Genomic DNA, 25,887 nt, shown 5'->3' with positions numbered 1-25,887 from the left:
TGTTATCCAGGATGGTCTCGATCTCCTGACCTCGTGATCCACCTGCCTTGACCTCCCAAAGTGCTGGGATTACAGGCATGAGCCACCGCGCCCGGGTATTTTTATTTATTTATTTATTTTGAGACGGAGTTTCACTCTTGTTGCCCAGGCTGGAGTACAGTGCCGCAATCTTGGCTCACTGCAACCTCCGCCTCCCAGGTTCAAGTGATTCTCTTGCTTCAGACTACCAAGTAGCTGGGATGACAGGTGCCCGCCACCATGCCCAGTTAACTTTTATATTTTTAGTAGAGTGGGGGTTTCACCATGTTGGCCAGGCTGGTCTTGAACTCCTGACCGCAGGTGATCCTCCTGCCTCGGTCTTCCAAAGTGTTGGGATTACAGGTGTGAGCCACTGCACCCAACTTCATTTTTAAAAATAGCTGCTTAAGCCAGGCACAGTGGCTCACACCTGTAATCCTAGCATTTTGGTAGTCTGAGGCGGGCAGATTGCTTGAGCTCAGGAGTTCAAGACCAGCCTACATGGCAAAATGCTGTCTCTACCAAAAATAAAAAAAAATTAGCCAGGTGTGGTGGTATGTGCTTGTGGTTCCAGCTTCTTAGGAGGCTGAAGTGAGAGGATGACTTGAGCCAGGAGGTAGAGGTTGCAATGAGCCGAGATCGTGCCACTGCACTCCAACCTGGGTGACAGAGTGAGACCCCAGAATTCATCTAATTAATCCCCTGACAATACACATTTTATTTTATTTTACTTTATTTTATTTTATTTTATTTTATTTTAATAGAAACGGGGTTTGGCTATGTTACCCAAGCTGGAGTGCAGTGGCTATTCACAGGCACTATCATAGTGTACTGCAGCCTTGAACTCCCGGACTCAAGTGATCCTCCTGCCTCAGCCTCCTGAGTAACTGAGACTATAATAAGCATTTAAGTAAGTAGCTTCCTGTCCCCATCTTTAATGAGGCATAATTAATATATAATTAACTATGCATATAAAGTATATAATTTGATAATGTACACATCTGTTCAATCATTACCACAATCAAGAGAGTGAATATTTGTTGATTGTTCACAAAGTTGCCTTGTGCCCTTAGTAATCCCTATCCTCTGCACTTTCAGGCTTCTACTCCCCACTCCAACACAACTGATCTGTTTTCTGATGCCTTACATCAATTTGCATCATAAAGAATTTTATCAAAATGGGCCGGGCGCGGTGGCTCATGCCTGTAATCCCAGCACTTTGGGAGGCCGAGGCGGGCGGATCACGAGGTCAGGAGATCGAGACCATCCTGTCTAACATGGTGAAACCCTGTCTCTACTAAAAATACAAAAAATTAGCCGGGCGTAGTGGCGGGCGCCTGTAGTCCCAGCTACTCGGGAGGCTGAGGCAGGAGAATGGCGTGAACCCGGGAGGCGGAGCTTGCAGTGAGCCGAGATTGCGCCACTGCACTCCAGCCTGGGCAACAGAGCCAGACTCGTCTCAAAAAAAAAAAAAAAAAAAAAGAATTTTATCAAAATGGAATCACATAGGATATGCTCTTTTTTTTTTTTTTTTTTGGTCTGGCACCTTGCTGCATGTATCAATAGTCCTCATTTTTTTTTTTTTTGCTGAGTAGTATTCTGTGGATATGACATACAATGTCTATTCATTTATCAGTTACGGGATATTGGGCTTGTTTCCAGTTTGAACTAATAGAAATAAAGCTGCTATGAACATTTGTGTAGTAGAAGTCTTTCTGCGGGCACATGCTTCCAATGGTCTTGAATAAATATCTCGAAGTGGGATGCCTAGGTCATATATGTTTAACTTTTAAAGTGGTTGTATCAGTTTACATTTCCACCAGCAGTGTGAAGAGACTCAGATTCTGCCTAGACTTGCCAACACATGGTATGATCAGTTTTTGTCGTGTTTTTAAAAACTTTAACTATCCTAATAGGTGTGTAGTGGTATTTCATTATAGTGTTAATCTGTATTTCCCTAATGACTAAAAGAGGCTGAGCATCTTTACATGTGCTTGTCATCTATATATTTTAAGTGTCTGTTCATGTTAGTTTTTTTGTTGTTGTTCATTTCAGTATCTTTTCAAAATCTTTTTTCCATTTTTGGGAGTGCTTTCTTCTTATTGAGTTTTGAGAGATCTTTTACTATTCTGGATTCAGGCCCTTTATCAGATTTGTGATTTGAAAATAACATTTCCCAGACTGTCACTTGGCCTTTCATTCTCCTAAGAGTATCTCTTGAAGAACAGAAGTTCCTAATTTTGATGAAGTCTAAATTATAATTTTTAAAAATGTGGATTGCTCTTTGCCTAAACCAAGGTCACAGTTTCTCCTATGTTTTCTTCTAGGGCTTCTATAGTTTTAGGTTTTATATTCAGATATATGATCCACTTTGAGTTAATTTTTACATATGGTGTGAGATATGGTTCAAAGTTTATATTCTGAATATATGAATATTGGATTGTTACAGAACCATTTGTTGCAAAGGCTGTCCTTTTCTCACTGCATTATCTTTGCATGTTTGTGGAAAACCATGGAACTGTCTTTGCATGTGAGTAGAAAATTAATTGGCTGCCTATGCATGGATCTATTTCTGGACTCTATTCCATTCCACTGATTTATTTAACTGTTGTCCATCTTACTACACTACCCTTGTTACTATAGCTTCATTAAGTCTTGAAGTCAGGTAGAATAAGTTCTCTAACTTTGTCCTTTTTTTTCCAAAGTTATTTTGGATGCTGTATGTCCTCTGTGTTTCTATAGGAATTTCAGAATAATCTCGTCAATATCTACAAAAAAACCCCTGCTGGGATTCTGATTGTGGTTTCTTTGAATCAACAGATCAATTCGGTGAGAATTGGCATCTTAAGTATATTGAGTTTTCGAATTCATTAACATGGTATATCTTTCCATTAATTTAGGTCTCTGATTTCTCACAGTTTGCATTCAGTAGACAGTTCTTGCACACCTTTAGTCAGATACATCGATAGGTATTTCATATATACATATATTTTTCTGAGACAGAGTCTCACTCTATTGCCCAGGCTGGAGTGTAGCAGCATGATCTTGGCTCACTGCAACCTCCGAAACCTGGGTTCAAGCGATTCTCCCACCTCAGCCTCCCAAGTAGGTGGGATCACAGGCATGCGTCACCACACCCAGCTACTCCTTGTATTTTTAGTAGAGATGGGGTTTTGCCATGTTGGCAGTATTTCATATTTTTGATGATATCATAAATGGCATTTAAAATTTTTAAATTCTGATTGTTGCTAGTATATAGGAATATAATTATTTTTAATTAGTCTTATATTCTTCAAATTTGCTAAACTCACGTATTAGTTCTAGCAGCTTTTTTGTAGATTTCATTGGATTTTCAGCACAGATGATCATGTTATCTGCAAATTTTACTACTCCTTTTCCAATGGATGCCTTTATTGCTTTTTCTTACCTTATTGTACTTGTTTGAACCCCAGTACAATGCTAAACAGAAGTGGTAAGAGTAGACATCCTTGCTAGTTTCCTTAGGGGATATGCTTTCAGTTTTTCACCATGAAGTATGATGTTATATGTAGGCTTTTCATAGATGCTCATTAGTAGATTTAAGAAGTTCCCTTCTATTCTGTTTGCTGAGCATTTTTAAAATCAAGAATCAGTATTGGATTTTGTCAAATGCTTTTTCTGCATCTATTGAGATGATCATATGATTTTCCTTCTTTCTGCTTCACTCACTCTCAGACTGCAGTGCAGTGGCACAATGATAACTCACTGTCACCTCCAATTCCTGGGCTCAAGTGATCCTCCTGCCTCAGCCTCCCGAGTAGCTAGACCTAGAGGTACCCACCACCACACCTGGCTAATTTTAAAATTTCTTTGTAGAGACACGGTCTTGCTATGTTGCCCAGGTTGGTCTCAAACTCCTGGGCTCAAGCGACTCTCCCACTTTAGCTTCCCAAAGTGGTCAGTTTGAGGTCATATCCAGAATATAAAAAGATCTCTTAAAACTCAAAATCCAAAAAATGGAAAAAAGATCTTAAAAGATATTGAAATAAACAAAAAAATATTGATGTGAACGAACACTTAAAAGAAAATATGTAAGTGACAAATAAGCATACATAAAGATGCTCAACCTCCTGAGTCATTAGGGAAATGCAGATTAAAATCATAATGAGATACCACTACACACCTATTAGGATGGCTAAAGTTTAAAGAAACATAACAAAAACAACAACAACAAAAACTGACTATCATGTCTGGGATTACAGGCAAGAGCCACTGTGCCTGGCCTGATTTTTCTTTTTTTGCTCTGTTAATATGGTGAATTATACAGATTAGTTTTCAAATGTCAAACCAATCTTGCATTCCTGGAATAACCCCCCGTTGGTCATAATGTATTATCTTTTTTGTACATATTTGGATTCCATTTGCTAAAAAGTTATTTAGAATTTTTGCATCTATGTTTATGAGGGATATTAATTTGTAATTTTCTTTTTCTTATAATAACTTTGCCTGGTTTTGGCATCAGGGTAATGCTAGCCTTGTAGAATGTTTGGGGTAATATTTTCTATTCTTCAGTTTTCTGTCAGAGTTTCTGTAGACTTGGTATTACTTTTTCCTTAAATACTTGGTAGAATTCACCACGAAGCCAGTTGCCTGGGCTCTATAGTGTAAGAGCCTTAAAACAGTATAATTCCATTTCTCCCTGCTAGCCTTAGTGCTGTTGTTACACATTTTACTTTTACATATGATACAAACATTGGTATTATTTTTGCTTGAAAAACTCAATGATTACAGAGGTTAGAATATTAAGAAAAAAAATCCTGTGTGTATTCATGTAGTTACCATTTATGATGATCTTTATCATTTAGTTCTTTGTGTAGATCCAGGTTTCCACTTGGTATCTGATATGGTTTGGATCTATGTCCTTGCCCAAATCTCATATTGAAATGTAATCACCAATACTGGAGGTGGGGCCTGGTGGGAGGTGACTGGATCATGGGGGCAGTTTCTAACAGTTTAGCACCGTCCCCCTGGTGCTGTTCTCATGATAGAGTTCTTGTGAGATCCGGTGGTTGAAAAGTGCGTAGCCCCTCTCTCTTCCTCCTGCTCTGGCCATATGTCTGCTCCCACTTTGCCTTCTGCCATGATTTACAGTTTCCTGAGGCCTCCGCAGAAGCTGAGCAGTTGCCACCATCATGTTTCCTGTACAGCCCACTGAACTGTGAGCCCAATTAAACCTCTCTGCTTTAGAAATTATCCAGTCTCAGGTATTTTTTTTACAGCAGTATGAGAACTAATACTGCATCATTTTCTTTCTTCTTGAAGGGTTTCCCTTTAACATTTCTTGTAATGCAGGTTTGTTGGTGATGAATTCTTTTATTGTTTGTATGTCTGAAAAAATCTTTATGTCTCACCTTTTTTTAAAAAATATATTTTGCTGGGTATGGAATTCTAGTCTGAAAGTTTTTTCTTCCTTTCAGTAACTTAAAAATTTCATTCCACTGTCTTCTACCTTACTTTATACATTTTTTTGAGAAATCTGCTGTCAACTTTATATTTGTTATTTTATACATAATGTTTCTTTTCCCCCTTTGGTTGCTGTTTTCCCTTTATCACTCATTTTAAACAATTTGATCGTAAGATCCCTTGGTGTAGTTTTTTCCCCATGTATCTTTCTTTGAGGGTTTGTGAAATCTGAAAACTGTGGGTTCACAGTTTTCATGAAATTTGGAAAATTTTCAGCCTGCCTTCCTTCCCTTCCTTCCCTTCCCTTCCTTCCTTCCTTCCTTCCTTCCTTCCTTCCTTCCTTCCTTCCTTCCTTCCTTCCCTCCCTCCCTCCCTCCCTTCCCTCCCTCCCTCCTTCCTTCCTTCTCTTTCTTTCTCTCTCTCTCTCTTTTTTTTTTGAGATGGAGTCTCCCTCTGTTGCCCAGACCGGAGTGTGGTGGTGTGATCTCGGCTCATTGAAACCTCCACCTCCTGGGTTCAAGCGATTTTCCTGCCGCAGCCTCCTGAGCAGGTGGGACTATAAGTGCATGCCACCACGTCCAGCTAATTTTTATATTTTTAGTAGAGATGGCGTTTCACCATGTTGGTCAGGCTGGTCTGGAACTCCTGACCTCAGGTGATCTGCCAGCCTTGGCCTCCCAAAGTGCTAGATTACAGGCGTGAGCCACCACGCCTGGCCAGCCACAATTTTCTTAAATCTTTTTGTCTCCTCATAGCTTTCTTCTTTTGGAGACTTCACTAAAACATATATGTGACTCCTTGAGACTGTCCAGACTTCACTAAAACATATATTTGACTCCCTGAGACTGTCCCACAATTCACTGGTGCCCTGTTCATTTTTTTAAGATTCTTTTTTTTATTTCATTTTGGGTAGTTTTCACTGCTGTGTTGTCCAGTTCACTAGTCTTCTCTTCTGCAGTGTCTAAGCTGCCATTAATCCCATCCAGTTTGTGTGTTTTATCTTTTCAAAAATTTCAGCCATTGTAGGTTTCATCTTATTGGGTCTTTACATATGTAAAGACATACACCCCCACTGCCCACACACACACACCTACCTTCCATGTATCTAATTAACATGGGCAATCTTTCTTATAGTTTTCTGAACATATGGAATGCAATCACAATAATTGTTTTAATGCCTTTCCTATTAATTTTTATATCTGTGTCATTTCTAGGTCAGTTTTGATGGGTTGATTTTCCCTCCCTTATTAGGGGTTGTATTTTCCTGCTACCTGTTTGCCTGGTAATTTTACCTGGAATCTAGACATTGTGGGTGCTGTTTATTTTTGTTTTCTTTATAAACATTCTTGAGTTTTGTTCTTGGATGCAGTTATTTATTTGGAAACAGTTTGATGCTTTTGGGTCTTATTTTAAAGTTGTGCTCAGGATGACCAGAGTGGTGTTTAATCTATGGTTAATTTTTTTCTACTACTGAAGCAAAAGTAACCAATGTCTCTGAATTATGGATTTCTTTCCTTTCTGGTTGTTGAGAACAGGTACTATTCTCATCCCTGTGTGAGTTCCAGGCACTGTTCTCTCTAATCCATTAGATAGCTCTTTCCCTGGCCTTGGGTAGTTTCTTCACATGCATGTGCTCATCAGTATTCAGGAGACCTCCTCACATCTCCAGATTTCTCTCTTTGTGCATCTCTCTACTCTAGTCTAGCTATCTTGGCTTCCCTGGACTCTTAGTTATATTTCCTCCATTCAGGGAGATCACAAGGATCTGCCTAGGTTCCCCTTCCCTGTACTATGGCCTGAAAACTCTCTCAATAGTAAGCTGGAACAAGCATGGGACCCATTTCCTTTGTTTCCTGTCTTCAAGGATCATTGCCTTTCCATGCCTGATGTCAATGCCTTGAGTGCCGTGGTTGTTTCACAGATTTTGTTTTCTTTTTTTTTCTCTGTTATTTTAGGAGGGAAGTTCAATGTGGTACCTGTTATTTAATCTTGATCAGAAGCTTAAGGTTTGCTTCTAGTTTTTGGCTGATACAATAGATGTTGCCATTAACATCACTGTATACATACTTTTGGGTCTATGTGTGGACTTACATGTTGAATAAATTATTTAAGGTGGCTACTTCCCCATATATAGATTGCAACACTGAATATTATCAGAAGTGTACATCTTTTCCAATTTGATAGGTAAACATTATTTTACTTTTTGAGTCAGGGTCTCACTGTGTCGCCCAGGCTGGAATGAAGTGCAGTGGCGCGATCTTGGCTTACCAAGAACTCAACCTCCTGGGCTCAAGTGATCTTCCCACCTCAGCCCTACTAAGTAGCTGGGACTACAGGCACTACATCTGGTTAGTTTTTGTATTTTTTGTAGATATGGGGTTTCACTGTGTTGCCCAGGCTGGCCTCAAACTCCTGAGATCAAGTGATGCACCTGCCTCAGGCTCCTGAAGTGCTGGGATTACAGGCGTGTGCCACTATACCCGGCCCTATTTTATTTTCATTTCTTTTGTAAAGTTAAACATCTTATATTCTTACTGGTGATTGGTACTGCTTTTTCTGAAACTATGTGCTTTCATTTTGTAGAATATTGGTTTGTCATTTTCACATTGATTTGTAAGATTTTGTGCAGGAAATTAATCCTCTATCACATAAATTACAATTTTCCTCTTTAGCTGATAGTTTGTCTTTTGACTTTACTGAGGGCATCTAAAAATATCATAAATAATTTTTTAACTTTTTAAAAATTTAACTGGCATTCTGGTCTGATAATTTTTGCTTTGATGTAGTTCAAATTATCAATCTTTTTCTGCATGGTTTCTAGATTTTGCATATTTTCTGGATGTATACATACATGACATTAGCAAGGCTTTATATCTCAAATGCATAATTAACAAGTGAAATACCCTAGTTTCTTTTCTCCCCTGTAACCTGGAATCAGATAATAGTGTTGCTATACTGAGTTCACATTGGCTTATGCTGACCTAGACTTCAGATAGGCAACTGTCTTTGATTAATAAAACATGGAAGACAAAAATTATTATGTGTAAATGCAATTTGGTAGGGAAGAATTTCAAAGCATGGAGGAGGGAGGAAGTATATATTAAAAAAGGAATCTTGGTCAGGTGTGGTGGTGCACGCCTGTAATCCCAGAACTTATGGAGGCCAAGGCGGGTGGATCAATTGAGCTCTGGAGTTCAAGACAAGCCTAGGCAACATGGCAAAACCCCATCTTTACAAAAAATACAAACATTAGCCAGGCATGGTGGCATGTGCCTGTAGTCCCAGCTATTCGGAGGCTGGGGAGAGAAGATCACTTAAGCCCAGGAGGTTGAGGCTGCAGTGAGCTGTGATTGCATCACTGCACTCCAGCCTGGGTGATAGAGTGAGACCCTGTCTCCAATAAAAAAAAAAAAAGATCTTTAGGAAACCACTGACTTTAAATCATAGTCTTATTTTTTTCCCAGGATGGACTCATCTTGAGGGTATTCTGGGAAGGTGGAGTGATGATGTGAAATCAGAAACAATAGGCCAGGAGTGGTGAGCCAGCCTGGAATCCCAGCACTTTGGGAGGCCAAGGCAGGTGGACTGCTTGAGATGAGAAGTCCAAGACCAGTCTGGGCAACATGGCAAAACCCCATCTCTTAAAAAAAAAACGAAAAACCAAAAATCAGCTGGGTGTGGTGGCACACGCCTATAGTGCCAGCTACTCGGGGGGCTGAGGTGCAAGAATTCCTTGAGTCTGAGAGGTAGAGTCTGCAGTGAACTGTGATCATGCTACTTCAACTCCAGCCTGGCAACAGAGCAAGAGGAAAGAAGAAAGAAAGAAAGAAAGAGAGAGAGAGAAGGAAGGAAGGAAGGAAGGAAGGAAGGAAGGAAGGAAAAGAAGGAAAGAAAGAAGGAAAGAAGGAAGGAAGGAAAGAAGGAAGATAAGAAGGAAGGAAAGAAGGAAGGAAGGAAAGAAGGAAAGAAGGAAATAAAGAAAGGAAAGAAGGAAATAAAGAAAGGAAAGAAGGAAAGAAAGAAAAGAAAAGAAAGAAAGAAAGAAGGAAAGAAAGAAAGACAGACAGACAACGGTTATTCTAAGACCTGCTGGTTGATCATAACATAGTTCCTAAAGTCTGGAGCCTGCCCTGAAAATTCCAGCTTCTGACCAATGCACGTACTGCCAGTAGTGTCATAAACATAGTTGGAATAGACTTTGTACCTTATCATACACTTTCTTCATATTGTTGCCTAATTGTTTTCTGGAAGTTCTATTTTCCCAAGAAGGCAGTTAGCTGCTTGAAAGCAAGGCCTTGGGCCATATGCTTCTCACAATACTAAGTTTATATATAGAAGGTGAATTGTTCTGAATTGAGTTCTTAAGTATGTGCTGTTGAAGGTAAGAAAACTGTGTAGAAACTACCTCAAATTAGGAGACTAGAATTGAAAAAGAAGACATGCTATTCACTTGTTTGCCCTGGGATGGCATCTGTTATCATCATGCATTGATAAGAATGAGGTTTAGACCAGGTGTAGTGGCTCATACCTATAATCCCACCACTTTGGGAGGCTGAGATGGGAGGATCACCTGAGCCCAGGAATTTGAGACCAGCCCGGGCAACACAGTGAGAGCTCGTCTCTGCTAAAAAACAAAAAATACATTAGCTGGATGTGGTGGTGTGTGCCTATGGTCACAGCTACTCAGGAGGCTAAGGTAAGAGGATTGCTTGAGCCCAGGAGGTTGAAGCTGCCGTGAGCTGTGACTGCACCACTGCACAACAGCCTGGGTGACGGAGTGAAACCCTGACTTTAAAAAAGAGAGGGAAAAAAAAGGGTACCAACAAAGGAAAATCAATGTGGTGAGCCTGAATGGAAGACTCCTCCATGGAAAATATAATTGCTAAAAAGTCATACTCTTTCTCTGTACAGTTACAGTGAATAAATTACTGAAGGACTTAAAATGGCAAACTCTTACATTTCCTTAGGGGAAAGGAACTAACCTTTAGCAAGGTTCTATTAAAAGGAGAGGGAAAGCTAACATTGCTGACCGTGCACCCAGCCTTGTACTAATAAACACTTTTCATGAATTAGCTAGTTGAATCCTTACATGCCCATGAGGGAGATCCTATTATTCCCATTTCATAAATGAGAAAACTGAGGTTTTGACACGCAAGATGACTCAGCTAATACAAGAAGTCAGTGTGATTTGAAAGCAGGTCTGTCTGACTCAAAACTCAGCCCCTCACTGTGCTACAGTGCACCTCATTTCACTCTCAGAGCAACCCAAATGGAAGCTTTCCCACTTTGCTGATGTGGAAGCTGGGGCTTTGAGGTAAAGGAACAGCCTAAGGCCCAACCAGGTCTTTCTGACACTGAAGCTCATACACTACTCTGTTTGGTACTTGGGGCCTGACATTCCTTACCTATCTACTTCTCCTGTCCCTACCACTCTATCCCTGTAACTCCTCTCTCTGTTCCTAACACACAAACACACATGAAAAGAAAAAAGAAAAAAAAAAGATTCTAGTCAATGAGAAAAGTCATGATGAAGAAAACATGCTCTGCAGGGTTATTCTGTGTCTGTTTCGCCTTATGTGATTCTTTGTGCCTAATTATATCTCCTTCCTTTAAACCCTTCAGTGTGAGTCTAGTTACATCTCTGAGGTCCTCCTTGATCCCCACCCTCCCTTGCTGGAATTAGTTGCTCCCATTCCACCCAACATCTCGCTTTGTTTACTTCTCTGCTATTCTAGTACTTCTCATGCTTTGCCCATCTCCCCATAGGGCTTCATCCAGCATTTTACTTAATTGCTCTATCACCAAGAGCTGGCACACTGCTCAGGCATGGTGCACAATGAATGAATGAAAAGAGATTGAATGAAAGCCTGCAAGTCCCTACACAGTATTTACATCAAGAAAGAAAGCTACTGGCAGGATCACAGCTCCACTTCCAGAGGTGTGAAAAAATATTACTGGTAGACAACCATCACCTGGCTTGGTTGTTTTCAGGGAGTGATCGAGTGTCTAAAAATGCAAGGCTCGGCCAAGCACAATGGCTCAGGCCTGTAATCCCAGCACTTTGGGAGGCCAAGGCGGGTGGATCACGAAGTCAGGAGTTCGAGACCAGCCTGGCCAACATGGCAAAACCCCGTCTCTACTAAAAATACAAAAAATTAGCCAGGCATGGGTGGTGGGTGCCTATAACCCCAGCTACTTGGGAGGCTGAGGCAGGAGAATCGCTTGAATCTGGGAGGTGGAGGTTGTAGTGACCTGAGATCGTGCCACTGGACTCCAGCCTGGGTGCGACAAGAGTGAAATTCTGTCTCAAAAAACAAAAACAAAACAAAACAAAACAAAAACAAAACACAAGGCTCCTTGAAAGGAAACTGCAAACCTAAAAAGCACATTACTGATTTATGGGATTTGCATAAGCTTTTAATGGCTGGGAGGAATTGGCCTGCTGCTTAGATATCCACTTAAGCATTAAAGACTTTGCTTCTAGTTGCTAAATTATTTTGAACAAATCATCTCCTACATTCATTCAATTCACATCTCTGCACGTTTGCTATCCTATTTGATTACCGGTCTTTGAAAAACACATGCCAATCTTTTTCACTTTCCATTATTCTAAATAACTACCCTGGAAATGCCAGATAGCCTAAAGTTGCTCATGCAGGGCTTTCTAGGGGGTCTTGGTTGGAAGATAGAGTAAGAAAGCATCAGTTGCTTTCTGCCACTATTTAGTTGTAATAGCTGGTGGACTGAATCTCAGATCTATCATTTTGGGTCCCTTTGATTTTTCATTTTGTTCTGCAAAGTCTGTTGAGAGAAGAAAAGTAAAGTTCTGTTTCTTTTTTTCCTTCCCTTCTCTGCCACCAGACTGAACAGTGTCACACTTTGTCCACGGAAGAGTATGGGGAACAAGGAAACTCTAAGGACGTGTATAACACATACATGGGGGCTGAGGGTGGATGTAGAAGGCACAGGATGACCGATTTTGAGGACACTTTTCCTTTGCTTCAGTCTCCTTTATGTGGAAGGTGACAACAAAAGAGCTAAGCTGGCAAGTCGTGAGGTCCTTCTCTTTCTAAGAGTTACCAAGAGTAAGGCCTGTCTGTCATCAAATACAAATTTGGAGCTTACAGCTGGTTGAGATTTGGCATACAGATCCTTCCTTCTTTAAAGTGTTTTCCACGTGCCATTTTTAGAATTGGGATAATTCTAAAACACAGTAAATTAACTCAACTGTTAACTTTTTCTCCCCATACTTGACTTTTATCAGGGCTGCCTCTTCCTACCTTTTGGATCTTATCTCACCACTCTCCCCCTGTGCTCTAGCTATACCTGCCTTCTCATCCTTTCTTTTTTCTTTCCTTCTTTTCTTTTCTTTCTTTCTTTCTTCTTTTTCTTTCTTTTCTTTCTTTCTTTCTCTCTCTCTTTCTTTCTCCTTCCTTCTTTCCTTCCTTTTTTTCCTTCCTTCCTTCTTTCTTTCTCCTTCCTTCCTTCCTTCTTTCCCTTTTTTTTTTTTCCACTTTAAGTTCTGGGATACATGTGCAGAACGTGTAGGTTTGTTACACAGGTATACATGTGCCATGGTGGTTTGCTGCACACCTACTGACCCATCCTCTACTCACTGTCTCTTGATCATCAAATTCACTCTAGCCCCAGGGCCTTTGCATGTGATATGTGCTTTCTGTGTATTTGCTGAGTTCTTCTCTGTGCTCTCCCCGTGCTGGTTCAGCTCAAAGGTCACTTCCTCAGAGAGGCTTTTTCTAATGACTCTTCTCCAACCGGCCCCGTACTCTTTATCACACTAGCCACCTGTCTCCTGCTCACCCCACCCCATCCTGCCACTGGACAAAAGGCTCAAGGCCCTTGCACTTGAAACAGATCTCTTGCCTTTTGCCCTGTTGAGTCTGCTTTCTACCACCTCAGTCTGCTATCCTTGTTCTAGTGGCACTGCAGATGCAACACATTTATTTATTTATTTGTTTATTTACTTATTTAAGACAGAATCTCACTCTGTAGCCTCGGCTGGAATGCAGTGGCGTGATCTTGGCTCACTGCAACCTCTGCCTCCCAGGTTCAAGCAATTCTCCTGCCTCAGCCTCCCAAGTACCTGGGACTACAGGCGTGTGCCACCCACGCCCGGCTAATTTTTGTATTTTCAGTAGAGACAGAGTTTCACCACGTTGGCCAGGCTGGTCTTGAACTCCTGACCTTGTGATCCACTCGCCTCAGCCTCCCAAAGTGCTGAGATTACAGGCATGAGCCACCATGCCCGGCCACAATACACATTTATAAAAGAAATTTCTGTTAACCTTGAGTAACTGGAGAAATTAAATTTAAAAACCATTTTCTAAGCATCTGAAATGTTAATGTTTCTATTTCAGTTTAGCTCTTATAATGTAACAAATCTTTTGAAAAGCATAGAACAGAGACATCAAAGTTTATTAAATGTCTCAGAGAGTTCATTATTTCTACAGTTTTTATTATTCTTTCTGTGACCTTATCATTATCTTCTTTTCTTTTCTTTCTTTTTTTTTTTTTTTTTTAATTGAGATGGAGTTTTGCTCTTGTTGCCCAGGCTGGAGTGCAATAATGACCTGATCTCTGCTCACTGCAACCACCACCTCCCAGGTTCAAGTGATTCTCCTGCCTCAGCCTCCTGAGTAGCTGGGATTACAGGCATGCGCCACCATGCCTGGCTAATTTTGTATTTTTAGTAGAGACCATGTTGGTCAGGCTGGTCTCGAACTCTCAACCTCAGGTAATCTACCCGCCTTGGCCTCCCAAAGTGCTGGGATTACAGGCGTGAGCCACCGTGCCTGGCCATCTTATTTTTAAGAAAACTATCATTTCTTGATTCTATTTCACCATTTAGGTTCACATGAATTATTCCAAATTTCTTAATTTCCAAGCAACACATTACATTCTTCAGATTTCTTCCAAAATAGTTAAGGGGAAATCCCTGATGATTTCAGCTGACAATTCCTTAATCAGGAAAAGACTTTAAATGCTAGTCATCGGAAAAGTTACAATTTACAGGAAAGAAAGGGGAAATGCTGACATATTGCACAACATACCACGAATAAAGCATGGCTTATTAATTCAGTGGCATACTCACGCTGACAATTTTATCAAGAACTTCTAGTGACATCATAAACTGTGTTAGAGCAAATGAAATGTTTTTATTATCTATGTTTTTGAAAGTCCAAGGTAAAAATAAGATTTCCTTCTTTGGAGATTTTATGGGAAAAGGAAACTATACAATTTACGCATTTTTTTTTACAGATTTCTACAAAGATTCTAGGTTTTAAATGAAGCAGAGAACTGAGTGAAAGGGAATTCTTTGGTGTCTAATTTCATCCAGTATTGAGGAGAGTGGTTTTCTTCATGGTTTCTATTCTTTGGTAAAAGAAAGGAAATACATGCTTCTGCTTCTAGTTGTGTGTGCACAGATCCAAGTTCTCTGCTAGTGGCAAGGGCAAATGCCTCAATATGGTCCCCAGAGCAAAATCTTTCCCCAGGTTACACAAACACAGTTTGAAAGCAGTAATTACTGCGGTGTAACTTTGACCCCCAATTTATCTGATAAAAATCAATTCGGTTTCAGTTGGAGTAATTATCTAACATATTAAAAGTGAGATCATCATTAGCACTGGGTTTTCCCCCTTGCGATCTAATATATTCATCAATAAACCATATTCTTTATTAATGTTTTATTACAAGTGATCACAAACATAAGGCATTTCATAAACATATCTTGTTAATAAACATATCTCATTAATCGTTACATGGTAATTCAACAGCAGGTATGATGCAAACATTATACTCCTCGGTAAATGAGCATGGAGGAAAAAAGAGCTCCAGGAGGCTGAAACAGATCACAGTGACTCAGTCCTAAAGTCAGCCTAAACCTCTGTTCACATTTGGTCTTGAGCATTTATTCATTGGAATGGTATTGGCTAAGGGAGAAAAACATTACGGAAGAATGGATGAGGTACTTGCAGGTATGCAGAAGACAAAAAAAAAGGGGGCTTAAAGTAACCGGGAATTTAAATGTAGTTATGAGAAACAGCAACAAAACTTTATGATATTGGTCTTTATTTTGAAAACCATATTGAATACACCAAACAAAAAGCTATTACACATTTCTCTTTTACATAATTGCAATAGCTACAATTGATTGGGCACTCATCATATGGTAGGTACTCTTTCAAACATTCTCCACTCATTCTTTCTTTGAATTTCCATGACAATCCTATAATGTTCCAATTCCAATCCCCATTTCAGGGATTAAAAAAAACTGAGGAGCAAAAAAGGTTAAATAACTTGCCCCAAATCTGACAGGTGGTGGGCTGGGAATGGAACTCCCTTCTGTCTGACTCTAGTCTGAGTTATGTATTTTCCTTATTTTGACATTTTGGAGTCAGTCTTCCTAGGTGCCCTTTAGGACTCTAGCAAAATGTGTCAAGTATTTTCTGATGTTTCATCCTGCCAGTTACACAAACGATTAGTTTCCCAATAGAAAGATACCATCTGTTGTTTCTGTTTAATCACACCTAATTTTGCTTCAGTGTCTCTGTTTACCTAGGATGAGGGTCCCCCCATCATAGTAGAAATGAGAAAGAAACAGCCTGCCAGCTTACATGTTTCATGATCTTGAGTTTCTCACAGCAGAGCTTTAACATTTCCTTCTTAAAAACCTTTTGACCACAGACTGGTGCTTCTTGTTTTGACAGTCCAATCTTATTAGATCATGCTCTAGCTCAGTGTAGGCCTTGCTCAATACTCTGAAATTTCAGACCTACTGAAGCTACTAAAAACTTTTTGATTGAGAAGTCCACGGCCTCATGTGAAACTGGAGTCATGGAAATTTGAACAATTAATACATTTTTTTTTTTGAGACTGGGTCTCACTCTGCACCCAGGCTGAAGTGCACTGGCGTGATCATAGCTCACTGTAGCCTTGATCTCCCCAGCTCAAGCAATCCTCCTGCCTCAGCCTCCTAAGTAGCTGGGACTGCAAGCATGTGCCACCACGCCTGGCTAATTATTTTGATTTTTAGTAGAGACAGGGGTCTCGCTATGTTGTCCAGCTTGCTCTCAAACTCCCGAGCTCAAGCGATCCTCCCCCATTGGCCTCCCGAAGTGCTGGGATTACAGGCATAAGCCACTGCACCTGATCTTAATAAAACACTTCTATGGTAAAGTGACTCAATGATGGCAATAAAATAAATGACTAATATTCACATATGACTTTTTATCCAAAGCTCCTAAAGTGCTTAATGAATTTTTATACACTGATTAAACTTCTACAATGCAGTAAGTATACTCTGTGGTTTCACAACACAATTCTTTTTTTTTTTTTTTTTTTTTTGAGACAGAGTTTTGCCCTTATAGCCCAGGCTGGAGTTGAATGGCGTGATCTCGGCTCATTGCAACCTCTGCCTCTAGGTTCAAGCGATTCTCTCCTGCCTCAGCCTCCTGAGTAGGTGGTATTACAGGGATGCGCCACCATGCCCAACTAAATTTTTTGTATTTTTAGTAGAGACAGGGTTTCTCCATGTTGGTCAGGCTGGTCTTGAACTCTTGACCTCAGGTGATCCACCCGCCTCGGCCTCCCAAAGTGCTGGGATTACAGGCGTAAGCCACCGTGCCCGGCCTCATAACACAATTCTTTCATGGACAGCTGCACGCTGGCCCCACGTTATCAAGCTCAAATTGTCCTCAGATGGCTGGCAGGGGGTAAGGAAAATGCACTTCTTCATCTATCTTCAGAATAAGGAAATAGTAAAAGGTGGGGAAGAACTTGAGCTGGGGCAGATTTCACCAACTGAGCTACACTCACCGGAATGGGAGGCCTGCAGAATCTCAGGGAGTGGGTTGGCCATGTGGCTTGAAAAAGGGGAGGAAAATGGCTTCCCAATAAAAGCAATTTGCAGATGCTTTTGTGTGTATCACCTTTGTATCGTGTGGCCCCATGACTCAGCTTTCAACTCTGTGGAAGTTAAACAGGTAACTTATTTCCCCTCTAGATCTCCATGCTCCCTTCCCCAGATACAACCTATAGTCTCAAATCTATCAGCAGCAAAAATAGGTGACTAAGGACGAGGCCAGATGGTCAAACTTTGGGTTGTTGTTTAGCCTGTATTGCTGGTAGTAACCAGAACAGCGTAAAATGCTACCATGGAAAAGGTCAAAGGAAAAAGACTTCTCTGACTCAAGAAGACCATTAGGCGAGGATAATTGCCAATTGTGATTTTTAAATAAATGACACAGAAAAGGTTTTACTTAGGATTTTTTCCCCCCAAAACATCCAGAGAAAATACTTAGGATTTTTTATCTTAAATCAAAGAGCAAAGGCCTGAGACTCAGTATTTAGCATCTTGTTAAAACTAGGTCAAGGAGTGTAATGAGAATTTTCACTTTTCATTTGGGATTATACTGTAGAGAACATGGCACCACGTTCTAAGAGAAGGTTATATAAACTCCCATGCCTCCGAGACTAGGAAACAAACAGGAGTGGAGGAAGTGGGCCAGGTGGGGCCTGGTAAACTGTGGGTACCAGGGAGCCACTGTTACCCAGTCAGGCAGACTGTTTCCACAGGGGAAGCAGGGAAGACACAGTGTTGTCAGATTTGGCAGTTAAAAAAAAGAAATTGAAAATGCAGATTTTTATGTGAAACCCCCCAGTTTTTGTATGTTGCAACAAACTGACATATGCGTATACAACTATGTGGGTCAAGCCGAACACATCTGTGGGTGAGATCCAGCTCACAGTGCTGGTGTCTGTCCTCTGAGACCACAGTAATCGTTTTTAACTCTTAAGCAATTGAAAAGAAGCAAGAGCTGACACATCCTCCAGGGAGCAAACGACACTTGCTTAGTCAAAACCCCTTTATACCTCTACTTTGTGGGGTTTTAGAGGCAGGTTCAAGAAGTTGATGAATTTCTTCCATTAACAGTATCAAGCCTACAACCCTGTAGCTTCCTCTTGGAAGAAGGGAGGTATTCTGAGAACTCTAGGGCAAGCTAGGGGAAGTGCTCAGTGAGAGTGATGTTCAGTGGCTTCACAACAAGGTGTAAAATCTGTGATTTGTTCTTTGCTGCCACTCCAGACAAATGGGCTCAGGAGATGTATCAACTAGGGTCTTCCAATTGGCAGCTCAACAGGACTGATGGAAAAGTTCAGCCACGGAGAAAAGAATCACATTCCCTTTCTGATCTGACAACACATTATGAAACAGACAACACGATGGCTGGCTGGCCGCCTGCCTATCTTCTTTATCATATACTAGGCATCTCGCCATACACCATGCTTTCAGCTATCTTCCCAGACTGCTCCTGGAAGATTTCTAAACATAGACATTGCACATGTGATTGGAAAGAAGGAGACTTCTATTTTAAAGAAAAAAAAATTTCCTTGTCTCTAGCTATGGGGCTTGAAATTGACTACCCACTAAATCTACCAGGGACCGGTACCCACAATGTTAAAAGAGAGGAAAAGGAAACAAATGCTGGACTCTTTCCTCCATGTTAAGTGAACAGGGAGCTGATCTGTGAGTGATTTACAATGGGCTGGGCTCCCATTTTAACACACTGTTTTATCCACTGGCATAATTCAGTAGTAGCACTAACATTGAACCTTTATAAATTGCTTACTCTATATATGCCATGTACAGTTCTAGGCATTTCACATGTATTAACTTATTATTCCTCACATAATGCTAAGGATGTAGGTAATATCATTATATTCCCATCTTACAGATGTGGAAACAAGCACAGAGAGGTTAAGTATTTTGCCCAAGGTCACACAGTTAGCAATTGGTGGAACAAGAATTCAAATCCAGACAGTCCAGCTCCAGGACCTGTACTTTTAACCATTACACTAGATAACCTACCAAAATGAAGACTGGATATCAAGATAAAGTCCATAAATTGAGACTGGGTTATTCACTGTGCAATATGAAGGCTTGGGAATTCTCTGTTCTGATGGTCAGTGGAAAAGAAACGTGCTATTTTCACATTTTGTGCAGGTCTCCTAGAGCAATTATGTGTTCAGGAAAAAAAATCTAAGAAATTTCAGTGTATACATTTGACTCAAATACTGTTACAGTGGAGCTGCATCATATCTCTTCACTGTGTGGGGAAGGGAGGGAGGAAGTGGGGAGAAGAGAGAGAGAGATAGAGAAATTTAAATTGGGCAGTAAGGCCCAAGATGGGACAATGAGTGGTGAAAACAGCTGTTGCTCAGTTTTTTTTTTTTAATATATATAAGCTTTATGTTTTTGTTTTGTTTTGAGACAGGGTCTCTGTTGCCCAGGTTAGAGTGCAGTGGGGCAATCATGGCTTACTGCAGCCTCAACCTCCTGGGCTCAAGCCATCCTCTCGCCTCAGCCTCCCGAGAAGCTGGGATTACAGGCACATGCCATGACACCTGGCTAATTTTTTAATTTTTTATAGAGATGGGAGGTCTCACTATATTGCCCAGGCTGGTCTTGAGCTCTTGGGCTCAAGCAATCCTCCCATCTCAGCCTCCCAAAGTGCTAAAATTACAGGCATGAGCCACTGCGTCTGGCCAAGTATAAACTTATTCAATACTATGACCTGTAATCCTAATTGCCTGGCTATTGACTCTCAAGCCTGGCTTTGGGGCCAATCTTATGCAGCATCCTGTAACAGCACCCTAAAATAACATTTAGCCTGTACTACAACTGATTGTTATTGTTTAATGGATTTTTTACTAAGCCTCTCCACTAGACTATAAGCTCTGTGAGGGCAAGGCTCAAGCTCTAACAGGGAACTCTCAATACCCAGCTGACTAAAAATTTATACACCAAAGCACAAGGCTATACTTTGGTCAGAAAAAATTACACTGCATATAGGTATATGAGCGTTTCTAAACTCCTAAACTGAGTATGCAGGTATACGAGTTTCTAAACTAGGTTGGCATCCCCCTTCTAGCCTTCATTTACTGAGGGTCTGTTTCTCTTTAACCATATACTCCTTGATGAGTAACCTCATTCACTCTCCAACACCATAAGCCAGCAACACCCACATTTTCTTATTTCCCCACATGCACCCCTGAGCTACAGGTCTGATTTTCCAGCTGCCTTCAAGATATCTCTGCCTGACAGTTTAACGCTTCCAGAACTAAGACTTCTCTTCAGCCTCTTGTCCCTACTCCATTTCTCCTCTTCCAGAGTGAGGGCTTATTTACTGCTGTGGTGTAAAGTGAGGCTTTGGTGTCATACAAATCCATGTTCAGATCCTAGGGAGACACTGACTAGCTAGCTATATGACACTGGGCTCCTCTGAGTTTAGGTTTTCACAGTAGTAAAATGGCAATGATACTACTTACTCCGTAGGGTTATCATGATGACTAAATCAAATAATGTATTAAATTCCTTAGCTTAATGCCAGGTATATAGTTTCAGTCTGAAGTAAAACAGTACCTTTTATTATTCTCTGTACCAGTTAATTTAATATCTCCATTTATCCAACCTCTGAAGCTGGAAAACATAAAGACATCCTTCACTTCTGAAGATCTTCCCACTCCCTTTTACTTCAAATAGTCCCCAAGTTCTATCAGTTCTTTCTTTCCTTCCTTCTTTCTTTCCTTCCTTCCTTCCCTCCCTCCCTCTTTCCTTTCCTTTTTCTTTCTTTCTTCCTTCCTTCCTTCCTTCCTTTCTTTCCTTCTTTCTTTCTCTCTTTCCTTTCTTTCTCTCTCTTTTTTTTTTTTCAGAGTCTGGCTCTGTTGCCCAGGCTGAAATGAGGTGGCACGATCTCAGCTCACTGTAACCTCTGCCTCCAGGGTTCAAGCGATTCTCATCGCTTGATGAGAATCAGTGATGAGACTTGATGCCTCAGTCTCCCAAGCAGCTGGGATTACAGGCCCATGCTACCATGCCTGGCTAATTTTTGTATTTTTAGTAGAGATGGGGTTTCACCATGTTGGCCAGGTTGGTCTTGAACTCTTGACCTCAAATGATCTGCCTGCCTCAGCCTCCCAAAGTGCTAGGATTACAGGTGTGAGCCACCGCACCCAGCCTCAATTCTACTTTTAAAGCTCCCAAACCTGGATCCTTCCTCTGCACCTCCACTGCCTTCAGGCAGGCCCTCATCTTTGTCTAAACCATTGTAACTACTTGCTGTCTCGTTTCCTTGCCCCGGGTCTCTCTACACTTTAGCACATACATCACGGGGCACTGAAGTCATCTCTCCTGAAACCTACATGGATCACGTCACTCCTCTGCTAAAAACCTTCACAGGCTCCCATAGGTAAAGTACACATCTTCACCTACTAGGAATGAGGTGGCAACTATCACTTACTATGCTAAATATCTTGGTAGGATCTTTATATATATTATTCATGTAATCATCACAACAATGCAAATGAAATGAATTTAAGTATCTTAGTTTTATAGATTAGAGTCGAATGAGGCTAATCATTAAGCACTAAGGGAAGTCAAATAACTTTTCCACAGTCTAAATCAGTCAAAAACTGAAATTCACAGCCACGTTTGACTTTATCCTGTATATATGTCAGTACAGTGAATTAATATCTTATGTAGAGAATAAACTCTGAAGTCAAAGCATAAGATGAAAATCTCATGTATGACAAAGCCAATTTGACAATTTCTTAGAAAGGTCAAACACAACCAGGATTTCTTTTAGCACTAGAAAGAACATTGTTTCTTTAGCCAGCACAAGAAGTAGGTGACATGCATCTTAGGGACACGTTATACAAACAATGTATATCTTTAAACACTACAATCACACTTGATGCAATGAAATTTTACACCATGAGAGCAATAGGGAAGCTGAGAGCAACTGAGGGAATCATTCATCCCTGTCATCTTCTGCACAGTGTGGGACTGGTGGACAAAATTACCTGTACTATTTAAATTTCCTCTCTGTTTTACTCTCCATTTTTGTTGAGTATGTGGAGTTGAATTTCTGTACAGCAATTGGAATATATAGTTAACAGTACTTACAGTGCACTGTAAGTACTTATAAATTACCTCCTTTTCCTAAACAGCGAGAGGGGGTGCAGAAGCCACTTATTTTGACGTTCTTGGCACCCAGTATTATACTTCGCACAAAATAAGCAGTTAATTTATATACTTATTGGAAAAAATGGATACCCCTGACCTTTTATTTTATAGTTTAGTTCCTTCAATACTCATCACAAACTTCAAATTCGTGCAGCATGAGTTAAGATGATCATTGGGTAGGTCCTTATTTGGTCCTGCAAATGAATCAGAATTCCAAAGAATTCTGTCTGTTCTTCATGTTCTGCACTGCAGTTTGGTCTCGAATACACAACTTGACTTAGGGTGTGTCCATTCAGTTGAGAACAACATCTTGCAGACTAAGGAGTCTGACAGTTCCCACAGGCTCTCCTGAGTCAAAGCTGAACTGCAGGTTCACAGAGGGAGGCAGCTACTCTGAAAGCTGCCTCATTTTCTGGTCTACTGTGGTCAGTAACAGGAAACTGAACCTTTGGTATTTTGGCCTTTGATTCTACCCTGCCCTTAAAAGGCACTCAGAAACACTGAGTCTTTAAATATGGCAAGAGTGAGGACTCTCCGCTTGCGAAACAGAAGATGCGGGGAGTGTGGAGCTGCAGCATGGACACTGCGTTACCCTGCTCCGTGCCCTGGGGAAAATGTGTGTGTGGTGCATGATGTGTGCTCAGATTCTTTGTCCCGGATTCCCAGAGTTGTTTGGAGGCACAGGCACCAACTTCCTATCCAGTTCCTGAGCAGTGGTCTTGCAGAGTGGTCAAGTGGAGGCTAAGATTAGTCTTGCTACAGCAATGTGATGGCAAACACATGTCTATATTCATTAAATGACAGTATGACATCATGAAATCACTCAGATCTGGGTTTGAATACTGCCCCTGCACGCTCCCCAACCCCTCTGTCTCAGGGTCCTTTCTCGGGACAGGCCATTTGCTTTATATCATTGTTCTAATCTTCTTGTTCTATCTGATTAAGAAGTATAACACAGGTCAAGCACTTAGCACAGTGCCAGCTATCTTCTATAAGCTCAATAATCAGCAGTAGTTATCATTCTTCTCTCAATTCTCACCCCATATTAACCTCTAAGTAAAAGCCAAAGTCCTTCAATGGCCTGGGAAGCCCTGTGTCATCCACCCCTTGTTAGCTCTCTGATCTCATCTCCTACTTTCCTTTCCCTCACTCATTCCATGGGAACCTCCTTGTCACTCCTGGAATGTGTGCCAGGCCAACTCCCACACCAGGGCCTTTGCAAGGACTGATTCCTCTGATTTATCCCCAATGCTTTTAACAGTGCCTAGCACATAGGAGACATCCAATAAATATGTGTTAAAAAAGAAATTGGGACCTGGCGTGGTGGCTCATGCCTGTAATCCCAGCATTTTGGGAGGCCGAGGCGGGCAGATGACTTGAGGCCAGGAGTTCAAGACCAGCCTGGCCAACATGGCAAAACCCCATTTCTACTAAAAATACAAAAATTAGCTGGGTGTGGTACCACGCACCTGTAATCCCAGCTCTGGGAGGCTGAGGCATGACAATCACATGATCCTGGGAGGCAGAATTTGAGTGAGCTGAGATTGTGCCACTGCACTCCAGCTTGGGCAAGAGAGTGAGACTCGGTCTCAAAAAAAAAAAATTGGGGCAGGTGCGGTGGCTCATGCCTGTAATTCCAGCATTTGGAAGGCTAAGGCTGGTGGATCACCTGAGGTCAGGAGTTCGAGACCAGTCTGGCCAACACGGCGAAACCCTGTCTCTACTAAAACTACAAAAATTAGCCGGGCATGGTTGGTTGGTGCCTATAATCCCAGCTACTCGGGAGGCTGCGGCAGGAGAATTGCTTGAACCCAGTAAGCGGAGGTTGTAGTGAGCCGAGACTGTGCCATTGCACTCCAGCCCTCCAGCCTAGGTGACAGAGGGAGACTCTGTCTCAAAAAAAAAAAAAAAAAAAATGGCTTGTATGGAAAACTCATGTCTTGTGGAGAATGGGAGCTCACTAACTGCAGAGGTCCTGACACCGTGCCTGGGTCCCCTTCTGAAGGAACTGGGACGCTGTCTCCTAACAACTAACAAGAAAGTCTTCCAAGTACTTTCGGTGAATAAGTTCACTTAATCCTCACCACCACCCCACCGCCACCTCCATGTAGTGAGGTACGATTATTATTACTTATTTTAGAGAAGACCAAGCACTGAGAGGTGAATTTGCAAAGGTCACAAAGCCAGTATGTGACAGATGCTGGATACCATGAGCCACTGCATTCTATTACCTTTGGCCAGGGAAACCTCGGGTTAGATGACTACTTGGGACGCTGTTTGCTGTCCCACTTTTGCTGGTTTTTCAACCCCTTCTGGATGCCGACTGTACAGGCAGGTGATTTTCCTCAGGCCCCCTTTCCCACCAGCCTGTGCTGCTGGGGTTCTAGCACATTCCCCAGCCAATCCTGCTCAAGTTATGATGGAGGTCAGGCTAAATGGGTCACATAGATTGTTCATTTCAGGGACAAAAAGGCATGGCTCAAAGTTTTTTTTGTTTTCTCTTTGAAGCCATACTTCACAAAAATAGTTAATGATTGTGACACAGAAATAACTGAGCAGTCAAATAATGATAGGATGGAACGTCAGTGAGTCAGACAGGACACTATTTGGAACTGAGATGACCACTGGTTAGGTAGGATGATTCAAGACTGCTCAGCGGGCTACAGAGCCCAGGTGGAATGTTCTTCCATCCATTCTTCACTCTGCTAGCATTAATCCATCTTTTAACATTCATCTCAGTACTCCTGTCCCCAGAAAGCCTTTGCAGACCAGCCCCTTCCTGTCTTTCTTCCTCTCTCCCCAGGCTACATCAGGCCACCTTCCTTTCTACTCTCAAAGCACCTTGTACCTCCTCCACCATAATACACTTGCTGAACTTTATTGAGACCACCTGTTCCTACTCCACTGCCCACAGACTGTAAACTTCAGTGCAGGGACGATGTTCTTCGCATCTTTGTACCCCATGGCATAGCGAATAAGAGATGCTCAATAAATGACTGTTGAATGGAACAGTGCCAACTTACTGAGATACCATAACTTTTTAATCTCTGAATTTGCCTTGTCACATTTGATATGGCTTAGAACGAGGTCTAAATGGCATAGCCAGGGCCAGGTGTGATGGCTCATGTCTGTAATCCCTGCACTTTGGGAGGCTGAAGCAAGAGGATCACTTGAGTTCAGGAGTTCGAGACCAGCCTGGGCAACATGGTGAAACCCTGTCTCTACTAAAACAAAAAAATTAGCCAGGTATAGTCCCAGGTACTCAGGAGGTGGAGGTGAGGTGGAGGTGTGAGAATCAATTGAGCCTGGGAGGTCAAGACTGCAGTGAGCCATGATGGCACTACTGCACTCTAGCCTGGGCGACCAAGCTAGACTTGTCTCAA

At 41.5% G+C, this 25,887-nt stretch overlaps 1 protein-coding gene across 14 annotated transcripts in view, besides 2 other annotated features; it reads right to left on the bottom strand.

Moving 5' to 3' along the window:
* NSMCE2 (NSE2 SUMO ligase component of SMC5/6 complex) overlaps positions 1-25,887 on the bottom strand; it is a 275,261-nt gene that overhangs the window by 41,048 nt on the left and 208,326 nt on the right. The gene's annotated exons all lie outside the window — the stretch shown is intronic.
* Positions 15,910-16,049: an enhancer, noted in NCBI's record as "active region_27910". NCBI's record gives its function as "activates an Ori minimal core promoter by ATAC-STARR-seq in GM12878 lymphoblastoid cells {active_cell/tissue: GM12878}" and the evidence as "EXISTENCE:reporter gene assay evidence [ECO:0000049][PMID:35858748]".
* Positions 24,954-25,454: an enhancer, noted in NCBI's record as "H3K4me1 hESC enhancer chr8:126312861-126313361 (GRCh37/hg19 assembly coordinates)". NCBI's record gives its function as "activates a minimal SCP1, AML or CMV promoter by ChIP-STARR-seq in naive H9 embryonic stem cells {active_cell/tissue: H9 hESC(naive)}" and the evidence as "EXISTENCE:reporter gene assay evidence [ECO:0000049][PMID:30033119]".

This window comes from Homo sapiens, chromosome 8, assembly GCF_000001405.40.
Source record: "Homo sapiens chromosome 8, GRCh38.p14 Primary Assembly".
NCBI classification, from domain to species: Eukaryota; Metazoa; Chordata; class Mammalia; order Primates; family Hominidae; genus Homo; species Homo sapiens.
Note: the sequence above shows the minus strand (reverse complement) of the source record. Positions and strands in the feature narration are given on the sequence as shown.